The sequence below is a fragment of the Homo sapiens genome, chromosome 11, assembly GCF_000001405.40.
Source record: "Homo sapiens chromosome 11, GRCh38.p14 Primary Assembly".
Classification (NCBI taxonomy): domain Eukaryota; kingdom Metazoa; phylum Chordata; class Mammalia; order Primates; family Hominidae; genus Homo; species Homo sapiens.
The window spans coordinates 40,674,852-40,687,193 of NC_000011.10; the positions used below are offsets into that span (position 1 = coordinate 40,674,852).

The 12,342-nt window shown below is 37.7% G+C and overlaps 1 protein-coding gene across 18 annotated transcripts in view, besides 1 other annotated feature; it reads right to left on the reverse strand.

Moving 5' to 3' along the window:
- LRRC4C (leucine rich repeat containing 4C) overlaps nucleotides 1-12,342 on the reverse strand; it is a 1,345,454-nt gene that overhangs the window by 560,653 nt on the left and 772,459 nt on the right. The window lies entirely within an intron of this gene.
- Nucleotides 4,279-4,864: an enhancer, noted in NCBI's record as "NANOG-H3K27ac hESC enhancer chr11:40700680-40701265 (GRCh37/hg19 assembly coordinates)". NCBI's record gives its function as "activates a minimal SCP1, AML or CMV promoter by ChIP-STARR-seq in primed H9 embryonic stem cells {active_cell/tissue: H9 hESC(primed)}" and the evidence as "EXISTENCE:reporter gene assay evidence [ECO:0000049][PMID:30033119]".

The following is a 12,342-nucleotide window of genomic DNA, read 5'->3' on the forward strand; positions in this document are numbered from 1 at the left end:
ATTAACTCCATTTCATAGATGAAAAAACTGAGTTTCAAAGAGTTTGAGTCATATGCCCAAATTTGCACAGCTAATCACTGGCAGAACCAGACTTCAAATCCAAGTGTGTCAGAATGAGAGCCTGTATTATAACCTGGGTCACTGAAGTACGATTTCTACTCTGAAGCATCAAAAAATTCCCAAAAGTCAGAGCATACACAAAGCAGAACTTCTATCTTGTGTTACTTTTAAATTTATTTCATTGACAAGGTAGGTTTACTATACATTTAATGAAGCATGAATTTTAAGACCCCTTACTTACATGGGACCCATTTAGACTTAGGAATTTACCAGGAGTTGTAGCATGTTCTAGGTGGGGCGGAAAAGCCAAGTTGCAATCAGAAAGTGTATCTACTTAAGCATTTCAGGAAAATGGCCTAAATGGAGCTCAAAAGAAAAGAATTTGAAACTCTACAATTTCAGAAGTATTCAATAATTGATTATAAATATTTGATTTTGTTAGAATTTTATGATCGTTAAGACTCAGAAAAATTGGATCAGCCCTGGTCACAGGTGTTAACTCAGGACAGAGATAGTAGGGTAGCTGGGAAACCACGTTAAGCAGAGTTGCTCACACTTTTCTTACACTTGGGCCTCAACGCTGCATCCCTTTTTACTAATCTAGGCTAGTTTCCCTTTTTGTAATCTCCCTTGTGTCACCATCTTCCCCTCTCACAGCACTTTTATAATTTATCTTATATGACTCCCCAGCTGCTGGACTGTATGCACCACAAAGATGGCTGTGTCTGACTTGTTCACCACTTTATCTTCAATACCAAGTTCAACATCTGGTGCATTGTAAGTGTATAAGAACTCAACAACTATTTACAGAATAACATGTTCTATTTGTATCTTGGATATATTCACACAGTCTTTTGAATGCCTAGGTATCTTTCTGAAAAATCAGAAGTTTCTGTTAAAGTTTTTTTGGAACAGGATATGTTTATTAAAGAACTCAGTCTAAATTTCTAAATTTGAAGAAAAGTCATATAGGAAACTCCCACTGTTCATGTGAACAATTCAAAGCAATAGGAAAAGAAAACTCTTAAGTATAGTAACTATGGTCTTAGGTGTTGCTAAGATATAATTTGTTCTCCATAAAACTCACCAACACAAATCCCAGGAGTTACTAACAATTTATTCACAAAAATCAACACATTTTCTGTAGAACAAAATAGGTTTTCTAAAGAACAACATATATCTTATAGAGACCTTTTGTTTTGTGACAACTTCTAAAACCTTGTGTCAGTAATTCACATAAATCAAACAGCCAACTAGATGATGAAGACTGAACAACGTTAACTTTTTGGCTGCTCTTAAGGGAGTAGCATAAATCTTTTATGGCAGCTTGCAAGACAGTTTGATGTGTTTCTGTAGTTTCTTCATGCCTTTCTGGGTTCTTCTGAATCAATACTTGTCCAATCCTTGTCTTTTGGTTTCATTGAATCATAGAAACATGGAAGGCAGGGTTAGATGAAACCCTAGAGATCATCTAATTTAACCTCCTACACTGTAGGAATTCCCTCCGTAGACATTTTGAAAACCAGTGAGGGAATCTCATCAGGCAAACATACAGATTTGGGGCAGTTCCAATTATTGGAAAGGGTGTTTTATTCTGTTTCATTTCCTTCAAGCTTCATCAATACCTGCCTCCTTTTAATTTATTCCTATTACACAATGTTTTGCCTTCCAAAACTATGCAAGATAAATTTTTCCTTTGCTCCATGACAATTTGTCAGCATTATAAGATGGCTATCATGCCTCTTCTCAGTCCTTCTTTTAGGCTATATTTATCCAATTTTGATAATCTTGACCAATTTGGCTCAATATGTCTTAGACAAGAACTTTGGATATGTTTACTTGCACATGGGATGGGCTACAAGCAAATAGGCCAAATAATTAACAAACTTCAGAGAATTAAGTTACCAAAATAATACCAATCCTGTGCCTGTTAATCCTAAAAACATTCCCCAGTTTCTCGGGTATCGCTCCACAGAAAATGGTGTATTTCCCAATTTACCTCTCAAATGTGGCACATTAATGGACAATGAAAAACATCAGGAGAAACAGAGGCAAGACAAAGAGCTTTTTACCATTCCTGCCCAGCAGATATGATCATTGTGGTTAATCCATGACTCCCCCTGTGTTTCACATATTTCTCTTTTCTAGAAAAGAGGTTTTAAATTCTCTTCTTTCTTTACTTTTCATACATTTGCTGGGCGTGGTGGCTCATGCCTGTAATCATAGCACTTTGGGAGGCAGAGAGGGGTGGATCACTTGAGGACAGGAGATCGACACCAGCCTGGCCAACATGGTGAAACTCTGTCCCTACTAAAAATACAAAAATTAGCCGCGCATGGTGGCAGATACCTGTAATCCCAGTTACTTGGGAGGCTGAGGCAGGAGAATTGCTTGAACCTGGGAGGCGGAGGTTGCAGTGACCCAAAATCGCACCACAGCACTCCAGCCTGGGTGGCAGAGCAAGACTCTGTCTCAACTCAAACAAAACAAGACAAACATATGAACATATATTAGATGTGTTAGTATCCAATAATAGACACATTTAATATGTAAGTCTTTAGATCAAATAAAAGCATGTCTGGACCTGAAGGAAAGAACCTCCCATCACCTAGATTTTCTTGATTATGTATAGATACAGTAACTAGAGAAATTTTTTAGTTTTAGGAGGAAGGGTTTGCATAAATATTTGGGAAGTGAAATATGGATTATTGCTGACTCCAGAATCTGTTTTCTTATATTTCTTAATAACGAAACTGCCAATCTTTAGCAGTGTGTTTGCTGCTCAGCTAAAAACAGAAGAAAAACAAAACACAGATTTTTCAGCCTTCACGTGGTGAAATGGTTCACATGACTGAATTCTGGCCAGTGACACGTGAGCAGAGCTGTTTGGGGTGATTACAAGGACATCTCTTAAAGAGAAGGATGATACATTTCTTTACATGACCTCCAATCTGCTTCCTGAAATACAGCATTGATATCCGGAGTTTTACGTGCTATCTTGAGTGGTAAAGATAAGGCACATAAACCAGGAATGATAGAACGGAGAGTTGGAAGAAGCCTGTGACTTGGATGGCTCCGTGGAGCTGCCATAGTAACCTTAAGAGTACCAATGTCTTCCTTCCTTTATCTGAGAGAATAAAATTCTGAGATGCAAACCACTATCTTGGGGGTAGGGTGGGTTCTGCTAATACTAGATAAATACTATTCCTCACACATCACTTTTCTTTTTTTTTCAACTTTTATTTTAGAATTAGGAGGTATAAGTACTGGTTTGTTACAAAGGTATATCGTGTAATACTGAGGTTTGGAGTACAAATGAATTCATCACCCAAGTAATGAGTATACTACCCAGTAGGTAGAATTTCAGCCCTGGAGCCCCTCCTCCTTCTCCCCCATCTAATAGTCCCCAGTGTCCATTTAATCCATCTTCATTTCCATGCGCACCAGATATTACTTTTCGATTGTTCTGAATAACCTTCTGTGGTTTTTCTGGATTGTTATTTCCTTGGTATATTTTGGCCCAACTGATTTTAAAATAGTTTAGGATTACGTATTCTATATTATTTTATTCTAATATGATATGGTTTGGCTGTGTCTCCACCCAAATCTCATCTTGAATTGTAGCTCCCATAATCCCCATGCATCATAGGAGGGACCCAGTGGGAGTTAATTAAAACATAGGGGTGGGTCTTCTCCTTGCTGTTCTCATGATAGTGAATGTTTCACAAGATCTGATAGTTTTATAAAGGGTAATTCCCCTGCACAAGTTCTTTGCCCGCCGCCACGTAAGACGTCCCTTTGCTCTTCCTTCATCTTCTGCCAGGATTGTTAGGCCCCCCAGCCATGTGGAACTGTGAGTCAGTGAAACCTCTTTCCTGTATAAATTACCCAGCCACCAGCATGTCTTTATTAGCAGCATGAGAACGGGATAATACAGTTAATTGGTACTGGGTAGGGGGGTGCTACAATAAAGGTACCTAAAAATGTGGAAGCAACTTTGGAACTGGGTAACAGGCAGAGGTTGGAACAGTTTGGAGGGCTCAGAAGACAGGAAAATGTGGGAAAGTTTGGAACTCCCTACACACTTGTTGAATGGCTTTGACAAAAATGCTGATAGTGATATGAACAATAAGTTCCAGGCTGAGGTGGTCTCAGATGGAGATGAGGAACTTGTTGGGAACTAGAGCAAAGGTGACCCTTGTTATGTTTTAGCAAAGAGACTGGCAGCATTTTGCCCCTGCGCTATAGATTTGTGGAACTTTGAAGTTGAGAGAGATGATTTAGGGTTTCTGGTGGAAGAAGTTTCTAAGCAGCAAAGAATTCAAGAGTTGACTTGGGTGCTGTTAAAGGCACCTTTTTTTTTAAAGGGAAACAGAACATTAAAGTTTGGAAAATTTGCAGCCTGACAATGCAATAGGAAAGAAAACCCCATTCTCTGAGGAGAAATTCAAGCCAGGTGCAGAAATTTGCATAAGTAACGAGGAGCGGAATGTTAATCACCAAGACAATTGAAAAAATGTCTCCAGGGCATGTCAGAGACCTTTGCAGCAGCCCCTCCCCATCACAGGCCTGGAAGTTTAGGAGCAAAAAATTGTTTCATGGGCTGGGCCCAGGATCCCTCTGCTGTGTGCAGTCTAGGGACTTGGGGCCTTGCATCCCAGCATCTCCAGCCGTGACTGATGAAAGGGGCCAAGGTACAGCTTGGGCTGTTGCTTTAGAAGGTGGAAGCCCCAAGCCTTGGCAGCTTCCTCATAGTGTTGAGCCTGTGAGTACACAGAAGTCAAGAACTGAGATTTGGGAACCTCTGACTAGATCTCAGATGTATGAGGATGCCTGGATGCCCAGGCAAAAGTTTGCTGCAGGGGCAGGGATCTCATAGAGAAACTCTGCTATGGCAGTGCAGAAGGGAAATGTGGGGTCAGATCCCCCACACATAATCCCTACTGGGGTACTGCCTAGTGAACTGTGAGAAGAGGGCCACCATCCTCCAGACCCCGGAATGGTAGATCCACTGATAGCTTGCACCACACACCTGGAACAGCCATGGACACTCAACGCCAGCCCGTGAAAGCAGCTATTAGGGGGGATATACCTTGCAAAGCCCTAGGGGTGGCGCTACCCAAGATTATGGGAACCCACCTCTTGTATCAGTGTGATCTGTTTATGAGACGTGGAATCAAAGGAGATCATTTTACAGCTTTAAGATTTGACTGTCCTGCTGGATAATCGAACTTGCATGGGGCCTTTAGCCTTTAAGCTTCGGCCAATTTCTCCCATTTGCAATGGCTGTATTTACCAAATACCTGTGTCCCCATTGTACTTAGGAAGTAACTAACTTGCTTTTGATTTTACAGGCTTACAGGTGGAAGGTATTCACCTTGTCTTGGATGAGACTTTGGACTGTGGACTGTTTAGTTAATCCTGAAATAAGTTGAGACTGGGGGACTGTTGGGAGGCATAATTGATTTTGAAATGTGAAGATATGAGATTTGTGAGGGGCCAGGGGCAGAAGGATATGGTTTGGCTCTGTGTCCCCACCCAAATCTAATCTTGTAGCTCCCATAAGTCCCACCTGTTGTTCGAGGGACCCAGTGGGAGATGATTGAATCTTGGAGGCGGATCTTTCCCATGCTGTTCTCGTGATACTGAAAGGGTCTCAAGAGATTTGATGGTGTTAAAAGCATGAGTTTCTCTGCACAAGCTATTTTGTTTGCCTGCTGCCATTCACATAAGGTATGACTTGCTCCTCCTTGCTTTCCGCCATGATTGTGAGGCCCCATCAGCCATATGGGACTGTAAGTTCAATAAACTTCTTTCTTTTATAAATTGCCCAATCTCAGGTATGTCTTTATCAGCGTGAAAATGGATTTATACACAGGTGTAAGCAATTTGAATGACATAATTTATTAAACCCAACATATGCAAAATAATGTAACTTTAACATGCAATCATTATAGAAAGAATAAGGTATTTTGAATTTTAAGTCTTCAAAATTGGATGTGTATTTTATACCTACAGCACATCTCAATTTGAACATGTTACATTTTAAGTGATCAATAGCTACATGAAGCTAGTGGCTACATTATTGGACAGCACAGGTGTAATACAATCAGATATTGACCTATGAGTCTATGAAAAATTGTTTACATTTTTGCATTGAGTATGGGGAGTAAAAGAAGGAGCAGTGGGTGGAAATCTCAAGTGATACTTCCCTAGGCTCTCAGAGCAGCCTAATAGCAGAGGTAATATAAACATTTAATAGCCAATAGAGCATGGGCACTGATGAACCAAAATAGACACTGGTCTCATCAGAACAGGCATTATTCAAAACAACCAGTACAAGAGTACATAAATACAGGTTGAATGTAATCCATGTCTGTCTATGCTTTCAAAAAACCTAAGAGTCACAGTATTATTAATTAATCCTTTGAAAACTGTCTGCCCCAATACACAATACACTTCTATGAAGGGGCTCTGTGTGTTTTCATTTGTTGTACTCCAAAACATTGTACAGTGAATGGCAAATGTAATAGGGTGCTTATGTAGGAATTTCTATGTGAGAAAGTCTTTGCACTGGCAATGTGGTAGTGAAAAATAAAGCTTTAAAGCTTTATTTATGTAATATTTTATATAACTGAGAAAAATCTAATTGTTCAGTTCATAGAATGAGAAGGAGTTTAATAAATATAAAGACTAGGCATAAAATGGCTGGGTGTTGTGGCTTACACCTGTAATCCCAACACTTTCGGAAGCTGAGGCAGGTGGACCCCTTGAGCCCCGGAGTTTGAGACCAGCCTGGGCAGCATGGTGAAACCCCGTCTCTACAAAAAATATGATGGAATACTACTCAGCCATAAAAAGGAATGAATTAACAGCATTTGCAATGACCTGGATGAGATTAGAGACTATTATTCTAAGTGAAGTAACTCAGGAATGGAAAACCAAACATCGTATTTTCTCACTGATATGTGGGAGCTAAGCTATGAGGACACAGAGGCATAAAAATGATTCAATGGACTTTGGGAACTTTGGGGGAAGAGTGGGAGGTGGGTGAGGGATAAAAGACAACAAATATGGTGCAGTGTATACTGCTTGGGTGATGGGTGCTCCAGGCTCTCACAAATCTCCACTAAAGAAATTACTCATGTAACCAAATACCACCTGCACCCCAATTACTTACAGAAAAATAAAATTTAAAAAATACAAAAATTAGCCGGGCATGGTGGCACATGTCTTTAGTCCCAGCTACCCAGGAGGCTGAGGTGGGAGAATCACCTGAGCCTGGGAAGTTAAGGCTGCAGTGAGCCATGATTGCACCACTGCACTCCAGCCTGGGTGACAAAGTGAGGCCCCACCTTGAAAAAAAAAAAAAGCATAAAAGTAACTCACTGTGCTAGAAAAGGGGTAAATAAAGTATTCAATAGTTACTAAAGGGATGAATGAATGAATATCTGCCACTCAAACACTGCCTTATAAAAATTTGTCAAGTGTGGTTCTTACTGGGTGCCTCATACCAACAGTATGGGCCTTAAGGACTGCTTTTCAATTATGTAACACTTTTCATCTAAAGATATCTTTGTTTGTCTGGGTGCAGTGGTTCACACCTATAATCCCAGCACTTTGGGAGGCCGAGGCAGGTAGATCACCTGAGATCAGGAGTTCGAGACCAGCCTGGCCCAAATGGCGAAACCCAATCTCTACTAAAAATACAAAAATTAGCAGCTGTGGTGGTGAATGCCTGTAATCCCAGCTACTTGGGAGAGGCATGAGAATCACTTGAACCCTGGAGATGGTGGTTGCACTCCAGCTTGGGTGACAGAGGGAGACTCTGTCTCAATAAATAAATAAATAAATAAATAAATAAATAAAATAAAGATATCTCTGTTTATACACTCTTTCACAACAAATTACAGATAAAGTCACAGACCTATAGTCTGATAATAGAGTGATCAACAAATATTTATTTGAGATATTCTAGATAGGATGGAGAATTAGCTGGGTTACTTGCTGTTCCCCACGTCCAAAGGCAGAAAATATTATAGAAGAGAGAGGTATGTTTATGAAATTGTGAGAACCTCAGAAGATAGAAGATGGCTGGATGCAAAAGAAATAAAGAAACGGTTACCAAGAGTAGACTAATATCAGGTGATAACATACGAGGAGAATACAAGGAAGAACTTTCCAGCTATGTTCTTTCTCTTCTCCACATTTTTTTGTCTCATGCTAGTTCTATGCGGGAAAGCAGCAAAGGCTTGATGCGAAGGTGGTGGGTTAAAAAATTATGGCAATGCTGCCCTCTTGCTGGGGACCACTGGATATCCGTAAGTATAGGTATGCTCGGCATCCCTTTAGCATTCTCCACTACCAGCACCACTCATACCCACATGACACTGTGCCATTAATATATGAGAAATCAAACACTCCTATTATTTAGAACGTATGTTCAAGTATTGAAATAGGGACTGTTGCCTAATATAGTATTCATATTATAATCTTAAGAACAATTCCTTATAGTGCTGTCTCTATACATGGCAAAATTGTTGACAAAGTAAACTTGAAAATTCTGCAACAGATGCTCGGAAATGATGGATTTAAAAATTGTCATTTTAAAATTAATAACTGATATAAAAAAAAGTGAAATTCCTAGGTGACAGAGGAAAAAGGAGGGGATGGAAGGAACACAGAATGAATCATATGTACTGAAGCTGTCTCATGTAAGTGTGGAGGTAAGGGGATGAGGGAGGAAGTAGATATGTATTTATTTAAAGATCATACGAAAACTGTAGAAAAGGTTTGGTTCTGCATGAGGCAGTGTTAGGGAAACTGCAAAAAGTTGCAGCCCCACTAGGGCTTGACTTCCTCATAAAAAGAAAGAATAGAAAAATCCACCCACCAGTACAGAGGGCCAATGAGGAAGCATGTCATACCAAAGATTTGAAAAGGGAAAACATAAACTCTGCTAAAACGCCAGGCTTGCTGCTTGTGCACACTGAGTTTAAATGCATCACATCTATGGGAACTTAGAACCCCAAATTAGCATAAATCTATGCCAACTCTAATGATATCACTGGTACAACTCTTATAAACATTGGCAAAGCTATGCTGGAGTTATCCCCACAAATAAAATCTCAGTAAAAATAAGCTCACTTTACAACGTTACAAAATACTTACACAATATTTCCACCTTGAATGAAAATTTAGCAGATGTAGTAAATAGCTGGGGTAAAAATAAAAATATTTTAAAATTGAAGAAATAAAAAAAAGCTAAAGACTTTACAAAATGTATGTTACATATATTATAGACATAACATAATTTAATGAAAAGAGAATAAAGTAATTCAATTTTTGAATAAAGAAGAGGAAGCATTTAAAAAAGAATCAAATAAAACTACTAGAAGTTTGAAAAGTACAATCACAGAAATTAAAAAAAACTAAATGTACGCATTAAATTTTGAATTAGACCCTACTGAAAGTAATGTTAGTGAACTGGAAGATAGAGATAAGGAAGTAACTCATAATCAATCACATTGAGGTAAATGCATAAAAGATATTAAAAGTTAAGAAAAATTGAATTTTCAGTGAGAAGACCTAACATATATCTAAAATAATTTCATAAATGGGGATATGCAAAAATCTTGGCAGAGTAATAAACAAAGAGTTGAAGGATTTTTTTTAGAATTGAGAGGGTTATAAATTTTCATATTAAGGAATGCAAAAAAAGTAAAAATAATACATTTCCAAAAATATTGTAGTGAATTTATTTGCAATTTACCAAATAAATACCAAAGAAAAAAAGACATTTTAAAAAACAATCAGAGAGGAAAAAATATATTACATGCAAATGAGGAACAATTAGTTTGACAACAAACTTGTTACCAGTGACAATCAGGACTAGAGTACAATGAAAATAAGGAGCTAAAATAAGCTCAAACTAGCATTCTATATTATTTCTCATAAAAAAGATGATTTTGTTGGACAAAGTTAGATAATTTGTAATATAATAGAAGAAGATATTTTCAAAATCTAAAAATAATTTGTATAAAAACTCCTGCATTCTTTGAGAAAAATATAATACACTCATTAGAAAAATATGAATAGTAGGTATAAATAAGTTTCTTAACAAAGAGAAAACCCAAATGTCTAATAAACTGTGTTCACACTTTCTAATACTCAGAAAAATTGTAACTAAAACAGTGAAATAGCATTTGATATCAATCAGATTGACCTGCTAAAAAAATAAAACACAAGACAGGATGTGAATAACTGGAATTAGTGGGAGATGCAACTGGCACCTCTTCTTTGAAGGCCAAATTATTTCAAAGATTTTAAGTATATGACCCCAAAATTTCTTTCTATGTTATGTATCTCCATAAAACTTTTTCACTGTATGTCATAATGAGATCCATTAGCAGTCTTTTTGTGTGAATGAAAACAATAAATAAAAGCAACTTCAATTTTTTTAATAAAAAGTGAATGGATAAGTAAAATATATAAATGCATACCATAAAATAAAATGTGATAATCAGAAATTATAAACAAGATTTAAGGTGGGCAAGCTGAATAGATCTAAAGAGAATATTTATAGAAAATTTAAGAAAACAACAAAATTTAAAGTAAGATTTTTATAACTATAAAACACACAGAATAATAATATATATTAATTTGAAATGTATCACTACCCAGAAAACCTGGAAAATAGAATTCGAGGACACACTTACACAAAAGTGAATAGTTAATGAGGATAATGGAGATAAGAATGAGGATATAGGCTGAGATAGAAAAATAATAATATTAAATCAGAGAAGAGAGAGAACTTGATCAGTACTGGCAGAACAATTCTGTACACATAAGAGTTAAAAGACAGCTTAAATATAAATATAAATGTGTACACATATATGTGTATACAAACACAGAGAGAGAGAGGAAGAATGGGAAGATTTACTTTGTCTTCAACCTTGTCCTAGGTTGAAAGATTCAATCGTACAATTATAAAAATGATCCTTGACTCTAAGAATTCTACACTGTATATGAGTAGATAAACTTAACAGTCATTAAAAAAAAAAGATCAAGAAATTCAGGATGGGACATTGTGAAGAAGATATCCCAAGATAAACTACTTCTATGGCCCCACAGCACTTTTTTCAACCTCATCATATACTCTACAATAACCTTGCAGAAAGCAAGGTTGTCATGTGACTAAGACTTTGGGGTTTGAATTCCTGCTCACTGCCTTGGGATCCTGGACATGTTTCATGACCTTTCTAAGTCTCAGTTTTATCATCCAGATGATAACAATAACAGTATCTACCATTGATTTGTTGTAAAAAGAGTATAGTGGCTATCTTGATACATGTTTGCTATTTATCATTCATATTTTTATGAGTTCCACAGCCCAGCATAACACTGGCACACAGAGGAAGCTCAGTGTGTGCTAACTGAGTAAAAGCTCAAGCTAGTGGAATGTAGAGAATTAGGTGGAGTTGTGGTGCACAACCAAGAGCACATGTTGGAATCACTGGGGCAGCTTTTAAAATGTGCTGATGCCTCCCATTACCCCGAGAGATACTCACTAACTTCACCGGGGGCGGCCCAGACGTTGAGTATACTGTGAAATTTTCTCAGGTGATTCTCTAATAGGTAGCCAGAGTCCAGAACTGTGGAGCTAAAGGAGGATAGGTGTGACCTGAAGTGGCTGTACAAGCTTCAGGGGCTGGAATGATGAGTAGCCTTTTCCCCATTAAGAGGAAAATGAAACGGTTCAAAATAATTTTTTTAAAAGTCTTATTTAATTCATCTTACAAGAGCAGTGTTTCTCTAATTATATTAAGAGTTTGAGAAAAATTGACTTGAAATCTCTATTATAACCATATTATAGGGTACATCTGCTACGAGATTGGTAGAGTACCTAAAGACTAGTGTTTATCTCAACACTCCAAGAGACATCTTCAGTTTAAAGAAGATAAAATTGTAGGCTAAAATCTTGCCACTTCAAGAGTAGGCCACAGACCAGTGGCAATCATATTACCTATTGGTAATACAAAACCTCAGGCCACACGCAAGACTTCCTGTATGAGAACTTGCACTTTCGTTAGCTAACCGGGCAATTGGTACCCACATTACGGTTTGAGAAATGGTGAGCTAGATTAATCACTCTCAGGCTTGGATGCTAATTGAAATAATCTTGAAACTTGTTTTTTAAGATCTGATGTTTTGACATTGTGGTTTTTAAGGCTCTCTCAAGTGCAACAGTTTGAGAACCTGTAGGCTAGATAATTTATATAC